The 25,233-nt window shown below is 52.4% G+C and overlaps 1 protein-coding gene across 10 annotated transcripts in view, besides 5 other annotated features; it reads right to left on the reverse strand.

Moving 5' to 3' along the window:
* FBN3 (fibrillin 3) overlaps nucleotides 1-25,233 on the reverse strand; it is an 84,191-nt gene that overhangs the window by 36,755 nt on the left and 22,203 nt on the right. For 7 of the 10 annotated variants that reach the window (NM_032447.5, XM_017027372.2, XM_017027374.3 and 4 more), the window contains 22 exons: nucleotides 24,557-24,676; nucleotides 24,312-24,449; nucleotides 24,141-24,191; nucleotides 23,736-23,861; nucleotides 21,628-21,852; nucleotides 21,308-21,433; nucleotides 19,102-19,230; nucleotides 16,741-16,866; nucleotides 15,308-15,433; nucleotides 15,013-15,135; nucleotides 14,518-14,643; nucleotides 13,359-13,484; nucleotides 9,821-9,943; nucleotides 9,492-9,614; nucleotides 8,902-9,027; nucleotides 8,689-8,811; nucleotides 7,475-7,597; nucleotides 7,071-7,232; nucleotides 6,014-6,082; nucleotides 3,952-4,077; nucleotides 1,406-1,531; nucleotides 568-717 (listed from right to left, as the gene is read on the reverse strand). In NM_032447.5, the coding sequence (NP_115823.3) occupies nucleotides 568-717; nucleotides 1,406-1,531; nucleotides 3,952-4,077; nucleotides 6,014-6,082; nucleotides 7,071-7,232; nucleotides 7,475-7,597; nucleotides 8,689-8,811; nucleotides 8,902-9,027; nucleotides 9,492-9,614; nucleotides 9,821-9,943; nucleotides 13,359-13,484; nucleotides 14,518-14,643; nucleotides 15,013-15,135; nucleotides 15,308-15,433; nucleotides 16,741-16,866; nucleotides 19,102-19,230; nucleotides 21,308-21,433; nucleotides 21,628-21,852; nucleotides 23,736-23,861; nucleotides 24,141-24,191; nucleotides 24,312-24,449; nucleotides 24,557-24,676 (2,793 nt within the window). Of the gene's footprint in view, nucleotides 1-567; nucleotides 718-1,405; nucleotides 1,532-3,951; nucleotides 4,078-6,013; nucleotides 6,083-7,070; nucleotides 7,233-7,474; nucleotides 7,598-8,688; nucleotides 8,812-8,901; nucleotides 9,028-9,491; nucleotides 9,615-9,820; nucleotides 9,944-13,358; nucleotides 13,485-14,517; nucleotides 14,644-14,728; nucleotides 14,922-15,012; nucleotides 15,136-15,307; nucleotides 15,434-16,740; nucleotides 16,867-19,101; nucleotides 19,231-21,307; nucleotides 21,434-21,627; nucleotides 21,853-23,735; nucleotides 23,862-24,140; nucleotides 24,192-24,311; nucleotides 24,450-24,556; nucleotides 24,677-25,233 lie in introns of those variants that run through there. The other 3 variants (XM_017027375.3, XM_017027377.3, XM_017027378.3) reach the window with 3 other exon arrangements.
* Nucleotides 8,762-9,262: an enhancer, noted in NCBI's record as "H3K4me1 hESC enhancer chr19:8175802-8176302 (GRCh37/hg19 assembly coordinates)". NCBI's record gives its function as "activates a minimal SCP1, AML or CMV promoter by ChIP-STARR-seq in primed H9 embryonic stem cells {active_cell/tissue: H9 hESC(primed)}" and the evidence as "EXISTENCE:reporter gene assay evidence [ECO:0000049][PMID:30033119]".
* Nucleotides 13,377-13,877: an enhancer, noted in NCBI's record as "H3K4me1 hESC enhancer chr19:8180417-8180917 (GRCh37/hg19 assembly coordinates)". NCBI's record gives its function as "activates a minimal SCP1, AML or CMV promoter by ChIP-STARR-seq in naive H9 embryonic stem cells {active_cell/tissue: H9 hESC(naive)}" and the evidence as "EXISTENCE:reporter gene assay evidence [ECO:0000049][PMID:30033119]".
* Nucleotides 16,704-17,521: an enhancer, noted in NCBI's record as "H3K4me1 hESC enhancer chr19:8183744-8184561 (GRCh37/hg19 assembly coordinates)". NCBI's record gives its function as "activates a minimal SCP1, AML or CMV promoter by ChIP-STARR-seq in naive and primed H9 embryonic stem cells {active_cell/tissue: H9 hESC(naive and primed)}" and the evidence as "EXISTENCE:reporter gene assay evidence [ECO:0000049][PMID:30033119]".
* Nucleotides 18,308-18,898: an enhancer, noted in NCBI's record as "OCT4-NANOG-H3K27ac-H3K4me1 hESC enhancer chr19:8185348-8185938 (GRCh37/hg19 assembly coordinates)". NCBI's record gives its function as "activates a minimal SCP1, AML or CMV promoter by ChIP-STARR-seq in naive H9 embryonic stem cells {active_cell/tissue: H9 hESC(naive)}" and the evidence as "EXISTENCE:reporter gene assay evidence [ECO:0000049][PMID:30033119]".
* Nucleotides 18,899-19,489: an enhancer, noted in NCBI's record as "OCT4-NANOG-H3K27ac-H3K4me1 hESC enhancer chr19:8185939-8186529 (GRCh37/hg19 assembly coordinates)". NCBI's record gives its function as "activates a minimal SCP1, AML or CMV promoter by ChIP-STARR-seq in primed H9 embryonic stem cells {active_cell/tissue: H9 hESC(primed)}" and the evidence as "EXISTENCE:reporter gene assay evidence [ECO:0000049][PMID:30033119]".

Raw genomic sequence — 25,233 nt, forward strand, 5'->3', positions numbered from 1 at the left:
GTGAGGCCTTCCCAGTTATGTGGAACTGCGAGTCCATTAAAGTCCTCCTTTTTTTTTATTTTTTTATTTTTTTTTTGAGATGGAGTCTTGCTCTGTCACCCAGGCTGGAGCGCAGTGGCATGATCGCGGCTCACTGGAAACCCCACTTCCCGGGTTCAAGCGATTCTCTTGCCTCAGCCTCCCAAGTAGCTGGGATTACGGGCCTGCGCCACCACACCCAGCTAATTTTTTTGGTATTTTTAGTAGAGACAGGGTTTCACTGTGTTGGCCAGGCTGTTTTCGAATGCCTGACCTCAAGTGATCCACCCGCCTCGGCCTCCCAAAATGCTGGGATTATAGGTGTGAGCCACCACACCCAGCCAAACCTCTTTTTCTTTATAAATTACCCAGTATCCAGTATTTCTTCACAGCAGTATGAGAATGGACTAATAGAGGGACAAAACTTCAACTCTCTGGCTCTCATCAGAACAAGGAGGATTAATCTAAGAACCCTAAGGGCACTGTGTTTCCTTAACCATTATGCTAGGAGGGGCCAGGCTGGGAAGAAGGTTGGGGAGGGTTACTCACGACTGATGGGAGTGGGGCAGGCCTCACAGGGTCTATTCCAGGCCTGGCCAATGTTGTAGGAGCAGCAACACATTTTCCGGGTCACGTTGAAGGCCAGCTCATTTTGACATGTGCCGTTATAGTGCCGGAAGCAGACACTCTTCCTCATATCTGTAGTTGGCACAAAGGAGAAGAATGTGGGTAAGGGTCACCTAAATCAGTGGAAGAGGGAGCCAAAGAGATAGGAACTCCTTAACTGATTCATTTGAAGATTACTGGCTTGTCCAGGCACAGTGGCTCATGCCTGTAATCCCAGCACTTTGGGAGGCGGAGGCGGGCGGATCACTTGAGGTCAGGAGTTTGAGACCAGCCTGGCCAACATGGTGAAACCCTGTCTCTACTAAAAATACAAAAATTAGCTAGGTGTGGTGGCACACGCCTGTAATCCCAGCTACTTGGGAGGCTGAGGCAGGAGAATCGCTTGAACCTGGGAGGTGGAGGTTGCAGTGAGCCGAGATTGTGCCACTGCACTCCAGCCTGGGTGACAGAGTGAGACTCTATCTCAAAAAAAAAAAAAAAAAAAGATTACTGGCTGGCTTGATTGGCTTGATGTCTCTCCCCCAACACACTTGGGGGATCCATTCACTTTTTTCAGCCTTTTTTGAGCAGTGCACAACCTGAGCAACTGTTCATGGCAGCTCTGGGCTCCTGAGTCCTGCAGCTTTGTTTACTGCCACATGTCAGCACTTCATATATGCTTACCCTCCCTCTCCATAGGCTTGAAGGCTCCCAGCAGTTCCTCCCATGCCCAGGTGCTGCTTCTGTGACTGCCAGTTCCCTAGGTCATCACGCTTCTTACCCATGCAGTTGTTGCCACCATTGACTTGGAGGTACTCTGCAGGGCAGACACAGGTGTAGTTCCCCAGGGTGTTGTAGCAGGTGCCAGGGCCACAGATGCCGGAGTGTGTGGAGCATTCGTCAATATCTGCAGGGAAAGAAGGGGTGGAGGGGAACAGTGGGCAGCGTCCAGGAATTGTCTGAATAACTCCACTCCAGAGACCCAGCAAGGCCACTTCACCAGGGACCTAAGTTTGGTTTCAAAATCAGTTTAAAACGCACACACATCTTAGTGATGAAGAAAGCTATAATATGGGCTGGGCATGGTGGCTCATGCCTGTAATCTGAGCACTTTGTGATGCTGAGGTGGGAGGATCATTTGAGCCCGGAGTTCGAGACCAGTCTGGGCAACATAGCAAGACCCCATCTCTACTAAAAATTTTAAAAAATTAGCTGGGCATGGTGGTGCATGCCTGCAGTCCCAGCCACTTGGGAGGATCACTTGAGTCCAGGAGGTTAAGGTTGCAGTGAGCCGTGATCACGCCTCTGCACTCCAGCCTGGGTGCAGAATGAGATCCTGGCTCTAAAAAACAAACAAACGAACAAAAACAATATGACATTAAGTGAAAAAAAAAAAAAAAAAACATTTACAAGCTGGATGCAGTGGCTCATGCCTATCATCCCTGCTTTGGGAGGCCAAGGCAGGAGGATCATTTGAGGTCAAGAGTTTGAGACCAGCCTGGGCAACATAGTGAGGTCCCATCTCTACAAAAAATGAAAATTTAGCTGGGCATGGTGGCACACGCCTGTGGTCCCAGCTACTTGAGAGGCAGAGGTGGGAGGATCACCTGAGTCCAGGAGGTCAAGACTACAGCAAGCTGTGATTACACCACTGCACTCCAGCCTGGACAACAGAGTGAGACACTGGCTCTAAAAAAAAAAAAAAAAATTCCTAAAAATAAAGTTGATGATGATACTGCTTCTATTAGGAACAAAATGACCTGAGTTCATGAGTCAGTTTTATAATCACCAAGAAAGGATCATCCATGTCTTCCTAATATGATATGATAGGAATCAAGGACCTTATGGATAAAGTATTCTTGGGGGAAAAAAATTGATTCTCAATCTGGTCATTACTCTAGTCCAGGGGTAGTAAGCTTTTTCTGTAAAGGGCCAGAACATTTTGGTTTTGCGGGCCAAACTACAGTGTGCCATGATTATTCAATCTGCCAATGTAGCAAGAAAGCAGACACAAACAATATGCAAACACACTGTGGCACTGGCTGTGCTCCAAGGAAATTTTATTTATGGACCCCTGAAATTTGAATTTTATATAACTTTCTTTTCTTTTCTTCTTTCTTCCTTCTTCTCTTTCTTTCTTTCTTCTCTTTCTTTCTCTCTCTTTCTCTCTCTTTCTTTCTTTTATTTTTTTTGAGACAGAGTCTCACTCTGTTGCCCAGGCTAGAGTGCAGTGGCCTCATCTTGGCTCACTGCAACCTCCGCCTCCCAGGTTCAAGTGATTCTCCTGCCTCAGCCTCCCGAGTAGCTGGGACTATAGGCATGTGTCACTATGCCCGGCTAATTTTTGTATTTTTAGTAGAGATGGGGTTTCACTATGTTGGCCAGGCTGGTCTCGAACTCCTGACCTCGTGATCTGCCCACCTCGGCCTCCCAAAGAGCTGGGATTACAAGCATGAGCCACTGTGCCCAGTCTTTTTTTTCTTTTTTTTTTTTTTAAGACAGGGTCTCGTTCTGTCACCCAGGCTGGAGTACAGTGGCACAATCACGGCTCACTGCAGCCTCGACTTCCGAGGCTCAAGTGATCCTCCTGCCTCAGCCTCCCAAGTAGCTGGGATTACAGGCGTGAGTCACCATGCCCAGCTATTTTTTTAATTTTTTGTAGAGACAAGGTTTTGCCATGTTGCCCAGGTGGGTCTTAAACTCCTGGCCTCAAGCAATCCTCCCACTTCAGCCTCCCAAAGTACTGGGATTACCAGCTTGAGCTGCCACGCACCCAGCCTTGAATTTCATATAATTTTCATGTGTCACAAAATGTTATTCTTCTTTTGGTTTTTTCAACCGTTGAGAAAAGTGTAATAAAGTATTCTTAGCTAGCAGGCAAAAATAGGTAGTGGAATATTAGCATGGTAAGAGTGATGTCACCAAAAATAGCAGAGCAGGGAACTCCAGGGCTCCATTCCTCCACAAAAGCAACTATTGAGCTGGCAAAACAGACAAAAATAAACTTTTGCAGAACTCTGGAATCAGTCAAAAGCTTACAACATCCAGACAAAGATATGGTGAAGAAGGAAGCTGCTGTACTTCATAAGGGAGTGTCGTGGCATTTTAAAGGGTCTATCTACCATCCCCCACACCACAGATCCACAGCAGCCATGAACATCTTAAAGGCAGCAAGAGAGAACTGACAGATCATGACAAAAGAGGAGGCAGGGGGCAGAAGCCTTTCCATGAGGCCTTCCCTCCTCTACCCTTGTGAGGCTTGGCAGGGCAGGAAGGCAGGGAGAGAGCGGAAGAGCCTGACCCACCCCAAAGAGAATCCATGCTCACCCTCACAGATGCGGGTGTGCTCACTGAGGTGGTAGCCAGGTGGGCACTCACACTGGAAACTGCCAAACGTGTTGACGCAGTCACCCCCCTGACACAGCCCTGGCAGCTCTTGGCACTCGTCGATGTCTGTCAGGAAGTAAGGAAGCCAAGCTTGGGAGCTAAACCCATGCAGAGGACTTAAGGGGCACCCACACCATGCTCTGGGTTCTCCAGGGCCCTCTCGAGGATCCCCAAGTGCTGTCCATGACTGATAGACATTTAAAGGGTCTATCTTGATGGCTGGACACAGATTCTCTTGAGTTAATGTTACCCTAAATTCAACTCCATTCCCTTCATCTGTTAGTCCATTCTCCCATCCACCACATAGTTTCCTCTAGATAGAGAAATAGATAGTTTTCTTCCTCTAGATGGAGAATAGTCTTCTCCAACCTTGTCACTCCCTATAGAAAGGATGGATGGGAGGATGGATGAATGGATGGATGAGTGGATGGATGCATGGATATGAAACAGTGGATGGGTAAATAAGCAAGTGGGTCAATGAATAAGATGATGAGTGAGTGGATGGATAGGAAGGTGGATGGATAGGTGAGTAGACAGGCAAATGAGTGAATGGGTGGATAAGTGGATGGATGGATGGATGGATGAATGGATGAATAGATGGGAGATAGAAGATGGATGGAAGGGTGGATGAATGGGGGAATAGAAAGGGAGTAGGGAACGGGTGGATGGGAAATGGGTGGATGGATGAGTGGATGGATGGATGTATTGAGGATGGATGGGTGAATGGGGGATAGATGGATGGGTGAATAGATGGATAGAAGAATGAGAGATAGGTGGGTGGGAGATGGATGGATGGGAGAGTGGGAAATAGGTTAATGGATGGGTGAATGCGGGCTAGATGAAGGATGGGGGGTGGATGGATGGGTGAATGGATGGATACAAGGATAGCAGAGGGATGAGTGATGAATGGATGAATGGGTGGATGGGGCATGGTTGGATGGAAGGATGGAGGGATGGATGGAAGGATGGATGAATGGAAGGATGGATGAATGGGTAGATAAAGGATAGTTGGATGGAAGGAAGGATAGATGAATGGGTAGATGGGGGATGGTTGGGTGGAAGGATGGATGGATGGAAGGATGGGTGGATGGAAGGATAAATGGACAGAAGGAGGGGGGATGGATGAAAGGATGGAGGATAGATGAAGGATGGGGGATAAATGGGTGAATGGATGGATAGAAGGATAGGAGGGGAATAAGTGGGGGGATGGATGAATGGGTAGATGGAGAATGGTTGGATGGGTGGAAGGATGAATGGATGAAAGGATGAGTGGAAGGATAGATGAATGGATGGATGGTCGAGTGGAAGGATGGATGGATGGATGGATGGATGGATGAATGGATGGAAGGATGAGTGGAAGGATGGATGAATGGATGGATGGTCGGGTGGAAGGATGGATGGATGGATGGATGGATGGAGGGATGAATGGACAGAAAGATGGGGGATAGATGAAGGATGGGGAATGAATGGTTGACTAGATGGATGGATAAAAGGATAAGAGAGGGATGAGTGGAGGATGGATGAATGGGTAGATGGAGGATGGTTGAATGGAAGTATGGAAGTATGGAAGGAAGAATGGATGGAGGATGGCTGGATGGAAGGATGTATGGATGTACTGGATGGATGGAAAAAATGGAAGGATGGATGGATGGATGGATAGATGGATGAATGGCTGGATGGATGGGTAGAAGGATGGATGAATGGATGGAAGGATGGGTGGATGGAAGGATAAATGGACAGAAGGATGGAGGATGAATGGAAGGATGGGGGACAAATGAAAAGATCAATAAACCAACAAGTGGAAGAAATGGCTGAAAGAACAGATAAAAAAAATTAAACACAAACTAAAAGCATAGTGTGGTCCTGCTGCTCAGCCTCCAGGTGGAAAGATCTGCCCCATCCCAGGACAAAACTACTCAACTCTACACTTTGGTGAGGTGGGGATGAGAGAAAAGTCAGTCTCTAGGCAGACAGATGGATGGATGATCTGCCAGGAACTCACCTTCCAGAATGACAGTGATGCGGTTAGGCTGGAAGCCCTCACCACCCGGGCACAGGGTTCTGTACTCAGCTGTAAAGGGAAACAGGCTCCTGTGAGGTGGGGTATTGGGGCAAAGCTTAGGGGAAACAGGGGAGCAACAGCAGGAAGCCTGAAAAGGGCTCAAGAGTGGGCTCCCATCCTTCTACTGTACTAACGACATCCCCATATCTCTTTAGCCTCTTGGGGCCAAGAGACTTTGGCCAGTCCTGGGGCTGCTTGCGTGTGTGTGTGCATGTGCGTGTGCATGCGTGTGTGTGTGTAAATGTGGGTTCCCATTCAACATGTGAGCAGAGTTATGTGGTAGTGGCTGGGGGTAGGAGGGAGAGAAGATTATTCCTTCTGATCCAAAACCATATCCTAGTGTAACTGCAAGTTTTCCCCATGCAAGGAAGACCTTGGACATTCACACACGCATACACCTGAATAGGTGGACAGGTACCTCCCTGTTTCACACCTGAGGCCTTTGCACATACTGTTCTCACTGCATTGCACATCATTCCCCCTACTCTGCTAGGAAAACTCCTACACATCCTTCAAAACCTCACTCAAGCCTCCTCCCCTGGAAAGCCTTCCCCAGAGCTTTCACTTCCCCACAGCTTTCTCCTGAGCTATGGGTATGCCTCAAAGAAAACCCTTAGGACAGTTCTACTCTCACAGTCCTGAAACTGTTGATTTAAGGGTGAGGGAGAAGCAGCGTGCAGAGGCTGTGGCTCATCCTTCTCTGAGTCCCCAGTCCCCAGCACATGACACAGAGGAACTCTCAATATTTGTTGACTGACTGAGTGATCAAGTGACTATAAACACAGAGAATTTACAGAAAGCGACCTTGGAGAGAGGCCCAGCCAATGAACTACCAAGACGTACACTGTGTGACCCAGGATGAGCCCCTCTCCTCCCCCAGTTCTTGGTTTTCCTGTCGCCTAAGCCCCCCACCACCGCCATTAGCAGAGGTGACCCCCTAAGCTCCCGGGCCTCGGTGGCTTAGGTCACGGTGTTCAACTGCCCCGCAGGGACTCACTGGTGTTGGCCATAGGGCACAGCTCACAGGGATTGCCCCAAGCCCGGCCCAGGGAGCAACAGCAGGAAGCTCGGGTGACACCAACTCCGATCTCGGCACTGCAGGAAATGCCACTGTCCCCTCGGTCATGCGTCTCCAGGAAACAGTTCCCGGCCCGAGTGTCTGAACAGGCAGAAGGGGATGGTTAGTAGGTGTCAGAGGGAAAGCTGTATGTGTGCGTGTGCATGCATGTGTCTATTTCAACAGGTGACAAGGACAACCACTCTTGCAGGAGACCAGCAGATGTCCCGTTTGTCAGGAGCAGGTAGATTTGAACACGTTGACATCTGAGTTAACCCAGTGGGGCAATCCCACCCACCTCTGCTGACCCCAGAACCCTGATCTGGAGTTGAGCATGGACTCACCCACGCAGCCCACTCCGCTGGGGTTCAGCTCAAAATCCTGGGGGCAGCTGCAGAGGTAGCTGCCGGGGGTGTTAATGCACACGCCGTTGATGCAGTTTACTGGGTCTGCACACTCGTTGATGTCTGTAGGGAGGAAGCGCGGTCCTCAGCAGGGAGCCCCTTCCTCGGCCCCCCTCCCTCCTAGCTTCATCCTGGGAAGCTACAGCCCTCGCTCAAGGTCAACTCCTGGGCACCAGATTGTGGGACAATGTCATGTCCTTCCCTGGGAAGAAACCTAAGGGGACAGGAGCCTCCAGTCTGTCCTGTCCCCTCCAACCCCATTCCCTCTCCTGCTCTGTTCTGCCTGGCAGAGTTTTGTTCATTGAACTCTACCTGCCCTGGGTTCCATGCAGTCAACATATGAAAATCATATCTATTTTATTTCCGTAATTTATTGATGTTTAGAGACAGGGTCTTGCTGTGTCGACCAGGCTGGAGTGCAGTTGCACAATCACGGCTCACTGCAGCCTCAAACTCCTGGGCTCAAGCGATCCTTCTGCCTCAGCCTTTGGAGTAGCTGGGACTACAGGTGTGCACCACAATGCCCAGCTAATTTTTTATTTTTACTTTTTAGAGATGAGGTCTCGCTATGTTGCTCAGGCTGGTCTCCAACTCCTGGCCTGGAGTGATCCTCCCACCTCAGCCTCCCAAAGTGCTGAGATTATGGGCATGAGCCACCACTCCCAGCCAAAACCCATATATAGAAAATACTTTCAAACCATGGGTTAGCAAATTCCAACCTGTAGGTCAAATCCGGTCCACCACCTGTTTGTGTCAATAAAGTTTTATTGGTACAGGGGCCACATTCATTCATTTACATATTGCTTGTGGCTGCTTTTGAGCTACAATGGCAGAGTTGAATCATTGTGACAGAGACTGACTGTGTGGCCTGCAAAGCCAAAAATATTTACCACCTGCCCATTTCTAAAACACACAGAGGTAGGAGACCCTTTCAGCAGCTAGCGTGGAGGGGCCACTTCAATCACAGAACTTATTTAGCAGGCGAACAGGAACGGGAAATGATGGGGACATCAGGCAAGGCGCCCCCCACCCCCCAGCAAGACTGCAGGGGAGGATGCTTGAAAAGAGATCTGAGGGCAGTGAGGGAGTGAGCCATGTCCCCTGCCCCAACTCCTGCTCTCTCCTCTCCCCTTCCAGCCCAGATGACCTCACACCTGTGCAGTTGCCACCCCCTCGGTCCAGTTCGTAGCCACCATTGCAGATGCAGCGGAACATTCCAGGCAGGTTCTCACAGCTCCCAAATGCACAGAGGTTCCCTTGCGCACACTCGTCCACATCTGCGGGGACCCTGGGTCAGCCTGCCCCACCCAGAGTCTGCAGGGGGGACCTACCCACTCTGTCCTCTGCCCTGGCGGGCCCAACCTTACCCTGGCAGGCCCGGTGGTCCTCGGTGGGGTCAAAGCCCATCTCACATTCACAGCGGTACCCGCCGGGCGCATTGAGGCACTGCCCGTTGTCACAGAGGTCCACGTTCTCGGCACATTCATCCCTGTCTGAGGGGCCCCAAGATTCGGAGGGCTGGAGGCCGGTGGACCAGGACCCACACAGGGTGGGCAGGAGGCCCCAGTCACTGGAACACTTCGCTGTCAGCCAGAGTCCCAGGCAAGTAGCCCTGGGGACTCAGTCCCTGACTTGGGGGTGGGAGGCGAGTGACCGAGGCAGGGACAGGGAGGGGAGAGGTGGTCTGGACTCTTGGACTCCAGAGAGGGGACCCAGTCTCTCTGGATCCAGGGAGGAGGGCAGCCAGGAAGGAAGCGTCTCATGCACTTAAGTGTTCAAGGGAGCCGTGGGCAGGCCGCAGCACCGCCTGGGCCGAGGACACAGCCTCTCCAGCACCCACAGAGCGGCGATTGAGTCAGAAGGAGTCAGGAGGTCGAGTGACCATGGCAGCCACCGTGAATTCAGCCCCCGTGGCTGTCCCTCTAGGGCCCCTGCCCTCCCACCCCTCTAATCTCACCTTCGCAGAAGAAGCCATCCCCGGCAAAGCCCTGGCGGCAGGTGCAGCGGTAGGAGCCAGGGACATTGAGACAGTCACCTCTTGGGCTGCACCGGTGCTCCTGGGAGACGCATTCATCCAGGTCTGCAGGAGATGGAGCCCAGACCCCCCACCCCATGGTGTGTGCATTGGGTGGGCGCAGAAGGGAGAAAGACCCATCAACCCTCCAACCCTGACTGCCCCCCTGCAGACACTCCCGGATCCCACCCTCCCACTGCCTTGCCCCCCACCGCCTTGCCCCCCACCTACCTCTACTGCTTTGCCCCCACTCCCTGCCCCCAGGTACTCACCGTGACATTCGAAGCCATCCCCCACCCAGCCTGGCAGGCACCTACAGCTGAAACTCCCCGGGATGTTGAGACAGGAGGCGTGACTGTCACAGTTGTGTCCTCCAACCTCGCATTCATCCACATCTAAAGGGAGAGGAGGCACGACGCCAAGACCCAGTCACAGAAGGAAAGACTCGATGCAATAGCAGCGGAAAGGGCAGGGACTCTTCCTCTCTAGGGGAGAGCTGGCCCAGAAAGCCTCCTCCCATTCACCTGGGGAGCTTCCATCTTTACCCAGAGCCCAAGAGGAAAACCCCGAAACCCAACAGACATGACTCTCAGCAGCCCTCAGAAATGGCCTGAAATAGCAGCATGAAAGACTTGGGGTAGATATTAAGAGTGACTGTCCAGCCGGGTGCGGTGGCTCACGCCTGTAATCCCAGCACTTTGGGAGGCCGAGGCGGGTGGATCACGAGGTCAGGAGATCGAGACCATCCTGGCTAATGCGGTGAAACCCTGTCTCTACTAAAAATACAAAAAAAAAATTAGCCAGGCGTGGTGGCAGGTGCCTGTAGTCCCAGCTACTCAGGACGCTGAGGCAGGAGAATGGCGTGAACCCGAGAGGCGGAGCTTGCAGTGAGCAGAGGTTGTGCCACTGCACTCTAGCCTGGGCGACAGAGTGAGACTCCGTCTCAAAAAAATAAATAAATAAAAAAATAAAAAAGTGACTGTCCGTATGAACACGCCCCTTTTCCAAGCCAGGATTTCCCTGTCCACCAGCATTTCCAATCCAGAGTCAATTATGCCTCACCCTTATGATCTCTGCCATGTTAAACCTTGGTGAGCTGCTGTTACTAAACATTTCTTTCCCACACTTCTGTTTTCCCTGACATAAATTGTGTTTTAAAAGACAATTTTGGATCAACATCAACAACCTCTAAGAAGTCATAGGCTTGATGCTCTGTTATGTAACACTTGTTTCTAATACACATTAAAATAACCATGTAACTGGAGTGGATAGAATTGTGTCCCCTTAAAAGGTATGCTCAAGTCCTAAACCCTGAAACTGGTGAATGTGACCTTATTTGGAAACAGGGTCTTCGTAGATGTAACTAAGTTAAGATGAGGTCATCCCGGATTAGTGTAGGCTCCCATCCAGTGATGAGTGTTCTTTTGAGAAGGCTGTGTAGCCAGATGCAATGGCTTACACCTGTAATCCCAACTACTTGGGAGGCCAAGGTGGGAGGATCGCTTGAGGCAAGGAGTTTGAGACGAGGTTGGGCAACATAGTGAGAACCTGTTTCTACAAAAACACTTTTTTTTCCCCCTGAGGCATGGTTTCACTCTGTCACCCAGGCTGGAGTGCAGTGCAATGGTGCAATCATAGCTCACTGCAGCCTGGATCTCCTGGTCTTAAGCAATCCTCAGCCTCTTGAGTAGCTAAGACTACAGGTGAGCGCCAGCATGCCTGGCTATTTTTTAAAATTTTTATCTCAAACACCTGAGCTCAAGAATCCTTCCACCTCAATCTCCCAAAGTGCTGGCATTACAGAAATGAGTCACCATGCCTGATCAACAAACACTTTTTTAAAAATTAGCCCAGCTTGGTGGCATGCACCTGTAGTCCCAGATACTCAGGAGGCTGAGGCTGGGAGGATTGCTTGAACCCAGGAGTTTAAGGCTATGAACTAGTTCATGAGCTATGATCACACCACTGCACTATAGCCTGGGCGACACAGCGAGACCTCATCTTTACAAATTAGATACTACTGGGTGCAGTGACTCGTGCCTGTAATCCCAACAAATTGGGAGGCCGAGGCAAGAGGATTACTTGAGTCCAGGAGTTCAAGACCAACCCGGGCGACATAGTAAAACACTATCTCTACAAAAAAAAAAAAAAAAATTAGCTGAGTGTGGCGGCACGTGTGGGAGGCTGAGGTGGGAAGATCACCTGAGCCTGGAGAGGTGGAGGCTGCAGTGAGCTATGATTGTGTCACTGCACTCCAGCCTGGGAGACAGAGTGAGACACTATCTCACAAAAATAAATAAATAATAAATAAAATGTAAAACATGAAAAATAAAAAAAAATAGATACACAGAGAGAAGAAGGCCGTGTGAAGATGGAGACAGAGACTGGAATGACACATCTACAAGCTGAGGAACAGCAAGGAGGCATGGAACACTTTCTGCCTCTGAGCCCCCAAGAAGGTACTAACCCTGTAGACACCTTGATTTCAGACTTCTGGCTTCCAGAACTATTATTCTAGAAGGAGAATCAATTTCTTTTTAATTAAAAAAAAGTTTGTTTTTTTGAGATGGAGTCTTGCTCTGTGGCCCAAGCTGGAGTGCAGTGGTGTGATCTTGGCTCACTGCAACCTCCGCCTCCTGGATTCAAGTGATGCTCCTGCCTCAGCCTCCCAAGCAGCTGGGATTACAGGCGTGCGCCACCACGCCCAGCTAATTTTGTATTTTTAGTAGTGACGGGGTTTCACCATGTTGGCCAGGCTGGTCTCAAACTCCTGACCTCAGGTAATCCACCCACCTCAGCCCCCAAAGTGCTGGGATTACAGGTGTGAGCTACCCTGCCCAGGCTAATTTTTAAAATTTTTAATATAGATGGGGTTGCTGTCTCTATTAATGTTGCCATATGGCCGTGTTGTGATGTATCCATGTCACCCAGGCTGGTCTCGAACCCATGGGCTCAAGCAGTCCTCCTGCTTTGGCCTCCCAAAGTGCTGGGATTACAAAAGTGTGAGCCACTGCACCAGGCGGAGAATCATTTTACTTATTTTCTTTTTTTTTTTGAGACGGAGTCTGGCTCTGTCACCCAGGCTGGAGTGCAGTGGCTCGACCTCGGCTCACTGCAAGCTTCGCCTCCTGGGTTCACGCCATTCTCCTGCCTCAGCCTCCTGAATTTACTTATTTTCTTTTGAGACGGGGTCTCACTCTGTTGCCCAGGCTAGAATGCAGTGGTGCTATCTTGGCTCACTGCCACCTCTGCCTCCCGGGTTCAAATGATTCTCCTGCCCCAGCCTCCCGAGTAGCTGGGATTACTATGCCTGGCTAATTTTTGTATTTTTAGTAGAGATGGGTTTCACCATGTTGACCAGACTGGTCTCGAACTCCTGACCTCAGGTGATCTGCCCGCCTCGGCCTCCCAAAGTGCTGGGATTACAGGCATGAGCCACCGCGCCCGGCCCAGAGAATCAATTTCTAAGCCACCAATTGTGTGATCATTTGTTATGGCAGCCACAGGGAACTAACACAGTCACTATTCAAATGTTTAAGTGTTCATCCCTGTATTGCATCAAATTATGAGGGATTCACGTTTCAGAAATGCTGCTGCAGACACTTGGGGCTTCCCTTCCTGAGCTGTTCAGGGGACCCCCCGGGGCACTGTATAGGACTCTGTTCTTGCTTTAACACAAGAAGCCATCCGTGGAAATCTATGAGAATGAATTCTGGCTGTGCTCTGCCCTGGGGGATGGAAACAGACCCCATGATTCCCAAAATGGCCCCGGGGAGTCCCCTCTGCCTGCACCGCTGACCGCCGGCTCACCAGAGCAGCCTGTGGCCCCCTTCCTGACCATGTAGCCCAGCTGACAGTGGCAGACAAAGGAACCCTTCGTGTTCTCGCAGTCCCCATGGAGGCAGATGTGAGGGTTCAGGTCACACTCATCCACATCTGTTGGGGAAGAGAGCATGAGGTCTGAGGACTGGGTGCAGGGGTGACAGGAGAGGAAGTAGGTGAGGGTGGGAGGGAGATCACCAGCATTCCTGACTGTCCCGCCGCACAGGTCCTCTCTGCTAGGACTCTCTTTCTTTTCTCCAGGGGCGGGGAGCTCCCTCTATGTCCACTACTGGGCAATTGGGAATGTTCTGTGAGCGTTTCACAGTGTACATTCCAAGGAACACACCAGGAATGTGTTTCCAAAAGTATTTTATGGTCAAATATATTTAGAGAAGGCTGAGATCCACAAAGCTAACCAGGGTTTCCTCCTGCAGGACTTTTCAGAGCCTTTATGCCAATATGCACAGTGGGTCTGCAACAGGGGCATGGAGCAGACTGCATTCCCTAAATGCATTTGTTCACAAGGCCCATCGCTGAAGCACTTGCTCTCTGAGACTCCTATAAACTGCAACTCTCTAAGCTCTTTAAGCTTCACTCGGTTTCTTGGCCGGGAGTTACATTGTTACTTCCCGGAACTTCCACACTCTGGCCTCAGCTTTGTCCTGATAGGGTATGCAGTACACATCTGCTCCCCAGGCCCTAGGACAACCTGTAGCCAGGTGAGGACAGCAGTCGCCACCTTAGAGAACAGAGTTCTGAGTCTCTTTCCTGCCTTGTCCACTGTCCTCTGCCAGAAACCCCTTTGTCTTCAGTGATCTTAAAGCACAGCCCTTGAACAGGACACAATCCTCTGATAGATGTTGGGTATGTCATATTAAACAAATGCCATTTAAAAGAGCAAGGTTTGGGGAATTCTGCTTCTGTTATATAAATGGGATCTCATGGGCTTTGGAGAGCAGACTTGGGGTGCTGGGGACCCTTATGTGGAGAAGCAAGTGCTGTTACAAAGCCTCATCTTCCTACCTGCGAATGGCAGGGGTGGGGCCTGGCATTTTTCATGCCTATGTGCCACCTTGTGGAAGACCTGGTGTGTGAATTCTGACACTGCCTCCTCCACCCGCCCCGCCCCACCGTCCCGGCTCCTCACCAACACATGTCCTCATGTCTGGCGTGGCCATGAAGCCATCATAGCACAGGCAGCGGTGACCCCCTGGCATGTTGGTGCAGTGGCCTTGGTCACAAACGCGGGGGTTCTCTTCACACTCGTCCACGTCTGGGGGAGCAGGGTTGGGGACTGTGCTTAGCTTTGCCCTGATAGACCACCCAGTACACATCTGCTCCCCAGGCCCCAGGACGACCTGTAGCCAGGTGAGGATAGCGATGGTCACTCGAGTAGTCTGGGGGCGCTCAAGCAGTTCTGAGGTTCTTTTCCACCTTATTCACCCTCCTCTGCAAAAATCCCAGGGGCTCTCCCACAGGGTGAGCAGCCTGCCTGGGGCCAGGACCACAGGCCAGGCAGGGGGTGCCTCGGGTCTGGCTGGCTTCACTATGCTGTGCTGGGCTCTGGGCCAGTGCAGGACCCAGCCAACACCTCCTCCTCACCCTCCACACCAGGCAGTGGGAAGAAGTTGTGCCCACCTACCTGCACATGCCCTTCCGTCGGGCATCAGCGAGTAGCCCTGCCCACAGCTGCACCGGTAGCTGCCCTCAGTGTTAATACAGTGCACGTCACACCCACCATTCTGGACCCGGCATTCGTTGATGTCTGCAGGATGCAGGGCAGACAGGGGCTGGGGCTGGGGGGAGGGGTCCAGGATGGGGAGGGGGCTGGTTTGGGGGTGGGAGCAGAGTGGAGTTGAGGTGAGGACAGGAGGAGCTACCACTATGTCTGGGACTGTGGTTGGTGCCCAGGGGCCAGCAGGTGGGCACAGTCTCACCCACGCAGCCCTGGCGGTCAGGTGTGCTCTGGAAGCCGGCATGGCAGGAGCACTGGAAGGCACCGATGACATTGACACACTGGCCATGGGGACACAGGCCATCACTCAGGGAGCACTCATCGATGTCTGTGGGGGAGTGCAGGTGAAAGACGGGCCTGTGCCCCATCTGCCGTCTGTGTGACCATGAGACACACTGGGGGCACACATGCATGCTAAGGAGCTCACACTGCCAGCATTGGCACAGCCCCGCATGTGCCTATCCGTACACTTGCATTCACTCACATGCAAATACACTCACTCTCCTATAAGCACAGACACCCATATACACACCCCACGTGCCCGCTCACACAGACTCACAAACACACCCTGGCACCCACTCACGTGTGAACACACTCACCCTTGACAGACACACACAGGCACACTCAGATACACACTCACACTCAAGTGCACACTCCTAAATTCACAACACACCTTATATCCACTTGCACACAAATACACTCACCCATGTGTAAATACACATCCACACCCAGGGGCACACTCACACCCATGTGCACACACAGACACACAAACACCCAATGCACACTCACACATACACACACACCCATGTGCACACTCACACAGACACACACATAAACACACCCTCAAACATACCTGTCCTTGTGCAAACACATGTCCACACCCAGACACCCACACCCAGAGGTACACCCACACAGACCCACTCAAACACATTCTCACACCCACTCACACACAAACACACCTCTATAAACATGCATTTGCATCCAACTACACATCACATTCTCTTACACACACACACACAGACTTACGTACAAACACACCCACTCAGAAATTAGCCAGGCATAGTGGCGCATGCCTGTAGTCCCACCTACTTGGGAGGCTGAGATGGGAGGATCACCTGAGCCCAGGAGGTGGAGGCTGCAGTGAGCTGTGATTGTGCCACTGCACCCCAGCCTGGACAACAGACTGGGACCCTGTCTCAAACAAAACAAAATGAAACACACCTACGCACATGCAAACACACTTGCCCTTGGTAGAGACATTCATAGCCAAATACACACTCAAACCCTCTTGTGTGTTCACACAGACGCACACACACACTCACTCCTCACATACAAACACTCCCCCTTGTACAGACACACAGTCACACAAATGCACAAACGCTTGCCCTTGTACAGACACTCACACATGTGCGTGTTCATCTAGACACACAAACACACTCCCGCCATCTTGCATATAAACCCACTTACACACACAGATACACACACACACTTGCACGCTCACACATAGGTATGGCCTCAGAAAGACAGATACACATGCCCACCCTCTCACTCATCCAGCCCACATTCACCAGACATCCACTCACTTTCACACACATGGGCTAACACTCACACTTGCACACCCAGATGCACACTTACCCTCACAGGCAGTGCCCTTGGCCGTCAGCTCATGCCCAGGGGGACACTGGCACTTGTAGCTCCCATCCGTGTTGGTGCAAGTGCCTCCCCGGCAGAGCAGCGGGTCCCTTGCACACTCGTCCACGTCTGAAGGTTTGTGTGGAAAGAGAGAGCAGGCATGAAGGTGCTGATGCAGGGAGGGGGTGATGAGGCTCATGCTGGCTTCTCTCCGCCACCTCCCCAGCCCCCTTCACCCCAGCGGGAGCCAGGAGAGCCTGGAGGCTCCGGGTTGGGATGACCCAGGGGAGTGGGGTCTGCACCAGGAGCAGAGACCAGCCAGATGGGGAGGGAGGCTGAGATTCTCAGAAGAACAAAGGCCACGAAGCTGACACTCTTGGGGCCACTAGAAACGGCACTAAGAGGCCTTCCTCCACTCCCTGCAGGACACGCCAGAAAGCTGAGGCTCAGTCCCGCCAGGACTCAGGGCAGGGAGCAGGCAGCCTCGCCATGGCCTCATCACTCTTCAGCCACAGAGGCATCATCCTTCCATCCCTCAGGCCCACCCCAGGGCCTTTGCACATGCTGTTCTCCAGTGTCTTCACCCTTTTCACCCCCACTCCATTCTTTCTTTCTTTCCTTTTGTTGTTGTTGTTTTTGAGATGGAGTCTCGCTCTGTTGCCCAAGCTGGAGTGCAGTGACACGATCTCGGCTCACTGCAACCTCCGCCTCCTGGGTTCATGCAATTCTCCTGCCTCAGCCTCCCAAGTAGCTGGGATTACAGGCATGCATCACCAAGCCCAGCTAATTTTTGTATTTTTAGTAGAGACAGCGTTTCACCATGTTGGCCAGGCTGGTCTCAAAATCCTGACCTCAAGTGATTCACCTGCCTCAGCCTCCCAAATTGCCAGGATTACAGGTATGAGCCACCGAGCCCAGCCTTTTTTTTTTTTTTTTTTTTTTTTTGAGACAGATTTTCACACTGTTACCCAGCCTGGAGTGCAGTGACACGATCACAGCTCCCTGCAGCCTCCACCTCCTGTGTTCAAACTATCCTCCCACTTCAGCCTCCTGAGTAGCTGGGACTACAGGCAGGCACCACCATGCCCGGCTAATTTTTAAATTTTGTGTAGAGACGGGGCCTCTCTATGTTGACCAAGCTGGTCTTAAACTCCTGGTCTCAAGCAATCCTGTCTCAGCCATCTCTCATCAGATCATGTGGCCCTTTTAAGGGCTTCTGACAGTGGCAATTTTGCATTTTTTTCTTTTCTTTTCTTTTTCTTTCTTTCTTTCTTTTTTTTTTTTTTTTAATTTGGAGACAGAATCTCGCTCTGTCGCCCAGGCTGGAGTGCAGTGGCGCGATCTCGGCTCACTGCAACCTCCACCTCCTGGGTTCAAGCAATTCTCCTGCCTCAGCCTCCTGAGTAGCTGGACCTACAGGTGCACGCCACCACACCCAGCTAATTTTTTGTATTTTAATAGAGACGGGGTTTCACCATGTTGCCCAGGCTGGTTTCAAACTCCTGAACTCAGGCAATCTGCCCACCTCAGCCTCCCAAAGTGCTGGGATTACAGGCATGAGCCACCATGCCTGGCTTTTTCCTCTTCCTTCCTTCCTTCCTTCCTTTTTTCTTTAGACAGGGTCTCACTCTGTCACCCAGGCTGGAGTGCAAAAGTGCGATTATGGTTCACTGCAGCCTCAACCTCCTGGGCTCAAGGGATCCTCCCTCCTCAGCCTCCCGAGTAGCACGCGCCACCATGCCTAGCTAATTTTTAAAAAACTTTATAGTGACAGGGTCTTGTTATGTTGCCCAGGCTGGCCTCGAACTCCTGGACTCAAGCAATCCTACTGCCTCAGCCTCTCAAAATGCTGGGATTACAGGCGAGGGCCACTGCACCCAGCCCAGTTTTGCATTTCCTCAGCGATTCATGTTATTCATGTCTGTCTTCCTGTTAGGCTGTGAGCTCCAAGGAAAGAGGGCTCCCTGGAGCTAGAGCTCCCTGCAGTGCCTCTAGCTCAGAGGATGCATGTGAAATGCTCATCAAATGAATAACGAAGTCAATGATGGGGACGAGAGGCCTCATAACCGGCAGTATTTCCCAGGCTTCTCTGAGGGTCCCTGTCCTCTACCCAAGCTACACACCCTCCCTGGGAGACCACACCCCAGTGTGCCGGCCACCCCCAGGTCTCAGGCCCCAGGTCTCTCTCCTAAGGACGAGGCCTCATGGAGCCCAGACTCACTGTACCTCAGCTAATTTACAGCTCCTCCCTCCTCCTGCCCCCTCCATCCACGTCCACACAGCAACAGCCGTCCCCACCCTCCCTCTCCTCAATGCCCTCCCTGCCCAGGGCGCCCACCACACCCCTGCCCGGCAGTCACCGACCCATGCAGTTCTTCATCAGCATGAAGCCACTCTCGTAGCCGGGAAAACACTCGCACTCAAAGCTGCCCGGCGTGTTGACACAGGTGCCCTGGCCGCAGAGGTCAGGAGAGATGCGACACTCGTCGATATCTGTGGGGAGAGGGGGCAGAGGCCGGAGGCGCCATGTGGGCCGCATCATGGGGCACGAGGCAGGGGGGTCCCTGTCCTTTGATGGAGGTGTGGGCTAGAGGAAGCCCATCTGCAGACATAAGGAGGCACAGGCCAAGAGGGGAGGCATGATGCAGGCATGATGGGGTGCCGTATGGGGTCATCGAATCTGTAGATATGACAGGCAGAACAGAAGCCCCCAAAAGGAGCCGAGGAAATGGAGGAACCCCAAACTAAACATGACAAGGGCAGGCAGTTTTCTCACAGACGGGAGTTCTCCATTTTCTTTATTTTGATGGTAGATTTGTTTGTTTGTTTTATTTTATTTTATTTTTATTACTTATTTATTTATTTACTTTTTTAGAGACAGAGTCTTGCTCTGTCACCCAGGATGGAGTGCAGTGATGCAATCTCGGCTCACTGCAACTTCTGCCTCCCAGGATCAAGCGATTCTCCTGCCTCAGCCTCCCGAGTAGCTGGGATTACAGGTGTGTGCCACCATGCCCGGCTAATTTTGTATTTTTAGTAGAGATGGTGTTTCGCCATGTTGGCCAGGCTGGTCTCAAACTCCTGACCTAAAGCAGTCCACCCGCCTTGGCCTCCCAAAGTGCTAGGATTATAGGTGTGAGCCACTGAGCCTGGCCTGTTTGTTTTTCACTCAGGCTGGAGTGCAGTGGTGTGATCACAGCTCACTGCAGCCTCAACCTCCCAGGGCCTCAAGGGATCCTTCTACCTCAGCCTCTCGAATAGCTGGGACTACAGTTAATGCAATAATAATTTTTTTATTTTTTGCAGAGATGGAGGTCTCGCTGTGTTACCCAGGATAGTCTCAAACTCTTGGGCTCAAGCAATCCTCCCACCTTGGCCTCCAAAAGTGCTGGGATCACAGGCGTGAGCCACCATGCTGGCCCTGGAGGCCTCTAAAGGTCACCTTTGCCAGCCCCTTCTTTTATGTTTTATTTACTTATTTATTTATATTTGAGACACAGTCTCGTTCTGTCACCCAGGCTGGAGTGCAATGGCACAATCTTGGCTTACTGCAACCTCCGCCTCCCGGGTTCAAGTGATTCTCCTGCCTCGGCCTCCCGAGTAGCTGGGATTACAGGCGCCCGCCACCAGGCCCAGCTAATTTTTGTATCTTTAGTAGAGACGGGGTATTGCCATGTTGGCCAGGCTGGTCTCGAACTCTTGACCTCAAGTGATCCATCTGCCTTGGCCTCCCAAAGTGCTGGGATTACAGGTGTGATCCATCGCACCTGGCCCAGCGCCCCCTTTTTTTTTTGAGATGGAGTCTCTGTCGCCCAGGCTGGAGTGCAGTGGCATGATCTCAGCTCACTGCAAGCTCTGCATCCCGGGTTCACGCCATTCTCCTGCCTCAGCCTCCCGAGTAGCTGGGACTACAGGTGCCTGCCACCACGCTGGGCTAATTTTTGTATTTTTAGTAGAGACAGGGTTTCACCGTGTTAGCCAGGATGGTCTCGATCTCCTGACATCGTGATCCGCCCGCCTCAGCCTCCCAAAGTGCTGGGATTACAAATGTGAGCCACCGCGCCCAGCCCAGCCCCTTCTTTTATAGTCAGGGTCCCTGCAGCCCAAGGAGGGCAATCACCTGCCCTAGGTCACACAGCACAGAGGCAGACACAAGAAGTGCCCAAAGAACAGGTGTTCGCCAGGCACAGTGGCTCACACCTGTAATCCCAGCACTTTGGGAGGCCGAGGTGGGCGGATCACCTGAGGTCGGGAGTTCAAGTCCAGCCTGACCAACACGGAGAAACACTATCACTACTGAAAAATACAAAATTAGCCAGGCATGGTGGCACATGCCTGTAATCCCAGCTACTTAGGAGGCTGAGGCAGGAGAGTCGCTTGAACCTGGGAGGCGGAGGTTGCAGTGAGCCGAGATCGTGCCATTGCACTCCAGCCTGGATAACAAGAGTAAAACTCCGTCTCGAAAAAAAAAAGAAGAAGAAAAAGAACAGGTGTTGTCTCTACGTCTTATTTGAGGCCCCTATCCCTGCCAAGGATCACGCTCTCTCCAAGAGGCAGAGGTGGCACCTACCTGTGCAGTTCCGTTCCTGGGCATCCAGGGCGAAGCCCCCCGCACAGGCGCAGTGGAAGCTGCCCACCGTGTTTCTGCAGGTACCGTGCGTGCAGAGGCCAGGGAACACCTTGCATTCATTCACATCTGAAGTACAGGGGCATCAAACCACCCTGACGTCCCCAAGCTCAGGATCCATACACCAAGCCCTCCCTGGGTTCTTAGTGCCTCGCCTTACCCACATCCCCTTTTCCCCCAAACACACTTCCCATCTCCAGGCTTTTGCCTATGCCGTGCCCCTCCCCATCCTTCCAGGGGCCTGACCCCTTCCCCAACCGCACCTTTATAGAATGGTCGGCCAGACAGGAAGTCCCGGCTGGCGAAGCCCAGCCCCCGCGGGCACAGGCTGGCGAACTCCAGAGACTCGGGATCCGGGCAGGCCTCGCACTCGACTCCCCACACGGCCCCGATGGAGCAGCAGCAGACGTCCATCCGGTACTTGCCAGGCAGGGTGACCCCACACTCATCCTCATCCCATCGCAGGAAACATGGTTCCAATCTCACATCTGCACGGGGGACAGTCACTGCGTCCCCACCCCTGCCACACTGTGCCCACTGCGGGACAGGCGTGCCGCTCAGTCACTCCCATCGGAAACTTTCTCCCGGACGTAGTCAGGTCGAGGGCCAGAGTGGAAAGGGGTGACTTCCTCCAGGCACTGTCTGGGAGGGTACTATGTGTACTGTTCTGTAGCACTGTTCTAAGCCCCTCTATCCATATTTTTTTTACGTGATTGATTCATTGGTTGATTGATTTCTTTTGAGACATAGTCTTGCTCTGTCACTCAGGCTGGAGTGCAGTGGCACAATCTCAGCTCACCATAACCTCCACCTCCCAGGTTCAAGCAATTCTCCGGCCTCAGCCTCCCGAGGAGCTGGGATTACAGGTGTGTGCCACCACACCCGGCTGACTTTTGTTATTTTTTAGTAGAGACTCGGTTTCACCACGTTGGCCAGGCTGATCTCGAACTCAAGTGATCTGCCCGCCTCAGCCTCCCAAAGTGCTGGGATTACAGGTGTGAGCTACCGTGCCTGGCCAATTTTTTTTTTTTTTTTTAGACGGAGTCTTGCTCTGTCCCCCAGGCTGTAGTGCAGCGGCACAATCTCAGCTCACTGCAACCTCCGCCTCCCGGGTTCAAGCGATTCTCCTGCCTCAGCCTCCCGAGTAGCTGGGATTACAGACACCGCTACCACGCTCACCTAATTTTTGTATTTTAGTAGAGATGGGGTTTCACCATGTTTACCAGGCTGGTCTTGAACTCCTAACCTCAAGCAATCCACCTGCCTCGGCCTCCCAAAGTGCTGGCATTACAGGCGTGAGCCACCATGCCCGGCCACTAAGGATTTTTAGGGCAGAGAAACTACCCTGTATGACACTACAATGGTGAACATACGTCATTATACGTTCGTCCAAACCCATAGAATGTCCAATACACCAAGGGTAAACCCTAAGGTGCTCTATGGACTTAGAGATGACAATGCTGTACCCGTGCAGTTTCATCCATCGTAACAAATGCACCTTCTAACCCCAGTGCAAGATGTTGAGAGTTGGGGAGGCTGTACGTGTGTGGAGGTGGGGGCTATGTGTTCATATTTGCTGTGAACCTAATACTGTCCTCAAAGATAAATCCTGGCTGGACTTCCAGCACTCCGGGATGCTGAGGTAGGGGGATCCCTTGAGGCCAGGAGTTTGAGACCAGCCTAGGCAAGAGAGTGAGACCCTGTCCCTACAAAAATATATATAGATATACCAATAAATAAATAAATTAGCGGGTGTGGTGGTGCACACCTGTAGTCCCAGCTGCTCAGGAGATCAAGGTACAAAAATCAGTTGAACCCAGGAAGTGCAAGTTGTAGTGAGATGAGATTGCGCCACTGCACTCCTGCCTGGGTGACAGAGTGAGACCCTGTCTCAAGAAAAAAGAAAAAAAAACCCACCCAAATGTCTTTCATGATATGTTAGCCAGAGGCAGAGGATCCCAAAGGATGCCTGAAATCTCTCCTGTTCAGGCCAGGCGTGGTGGCTCACGCCTGTAATCCCAACACTTTGGGAGGCCGAGGCGGGCAGATCACCTGAGGTCAGAAGTTCGAGACCATCCTAGCCAACATGGTGAAACCCCATCTCTACTAAAAATACAAAAATTAGCTGGGCGTGGTGGTATGTGCCTGTAATCCCAGCTACTCAGGAGGCTGAGGCAGGAGAATCGCTTGAACCCGGGAGGCGGAAGTTACAGTGAGCCGAGATTGCGCCACTGCACTCCAGCCTGGGCGACAGAGCGAGACTCCATCTCAAAAAAAAAAAAAAAAATCTCTCCTGTTCCTCAAGTCACTGCGGGTGGAGGGAACAAAGGAAGAACGTGTGGCCCTGTATGCGGACCTCGCCTGGACTCACCCACGCACAGCCGGCCTGAGGCGTCCAGCATCAGGCCCTCTGGACACTCACAGCGGAAAGACCCAGCAGTGTTGACGCAACGCCCGTTGGGACAGACTCCCGGGAAGGACTCACACTCGTTCACATCTGGGTAAGGAGGAGGGAAAGCCGGAGGGTCCAGGGAGGGGAAGGGTGCTGGCTGGCCATTCCCCTGGGGTCTCAAGTTGTCCTTGAGGAGGAAGGAAGGGGACGGGGACACGGGGACTGGGGACTTTCAAGAAGGCCTGGGGACCAGGTAGGGAGAACGTCTGTCCCCATCGCAAAAGACTCCAGGGCGGGGCCGGAGGTGGCACCCATGAGGGTGGTGCGCCTGGTTGTGTGCGGGCTCTGGAGTAGGGGGTGAGCTGGACACGGGCAGGCAGTTACCATCGCAGGTGACACCCGTCATCCGGGCAAAGCCCCGGGCACAGGCAGGGTCTGCAACTGGGAGAACAAGAGTGAAGAGAGGAGTCATTTTCTCATGCCAGCCCAAGGGGGGACCCGCCCCATGGAGGGCTTTTCCCATGGGTGCCTGGGAGGCCTCAAGGAGGATACTACCGATCTCGCAGCGTTCGCAGGGGCTCCCCCAGGCTGCCCCGAGGGTGGCGCAGCACTCAGACCGCAGGCTGGCTCCCTGAAGGTTCACCTCACAGCGGCTCTCCTGGATCTTCAGCCAGCAGGTGCCCTTGGTGCTGTCTGGGGAGAAGAGGCGGGTCACCTGTCTCACCTGCCGGCCCTACACCTGCACCCTGACCCATAGACGCCCAGCCTCTGGAACGCCGTCGGGCTCCGGGGCCGCTCACCTAGACAGAAGGTACCAGAGGGGTCCAGCCGGCTGCCAGGGCCACATTTGCAGGTGTAGGAGCCGGCCAGGTTCCGACAGACGCCACTCACACACGGGCTGGACAGGCATTCGTCGACATCTGTGGGGACAGCCCCCCACCAGGTCCTGAGCTGCAGGAGGAGTTGCCTTACCTGGCCAGGACCCCTCCTCCCCAAGGGGCCGCCGCAACCGGTGGCACGGGGTGCACCCAGATGCACAAGCATGCAGAGGGCACTGGAATCAAATGTGCATGCAAGCACATGTGTGTGCTGAGCTGTGTGTGTACATGCTGTAAGAGACAGGAAATGCCAAACTGTTTTTTTTTTGTTTTTTTTTTTTTTTTGAGACAGAGTCTCGCTCTGTCACCCAGGTTGGAGTGCAGTGGCACCATCCCGGCTCACTGCAACCTCCGTCTCCCGGGTTCAAGCGATTCTCGTGCCTCAGCCTCCCAAGTAGCTGGGACTACAGGCATGTGCCACCATGCCTGGCTAACTTTTTTTGTATTTTTAGTAGAGACAGGATTTCATGATGTTGGCCAGGCTGGTCTCAAACTCCCAACCTCAGGTGGTCCGCCCGCCTCAGCCTCCCAAAGTGCTGGGATTATAGGCGTGAGTCACTGCACCCAGCCAAAACTGTATTCTTACTCTCACCTTCAAC

This window comes from Homo sapiens, chromosome 19 (assembly GCF_000001405.40).
Source record: "Homo sapiens chromosome 19, GRCh38.p14 Primary Assembly".
Lineage (NCBI taxonomy): Eukaryota > Metazoa > Chordata > Mammalia > Primates > Hominidae > Homo > Homo sapiens.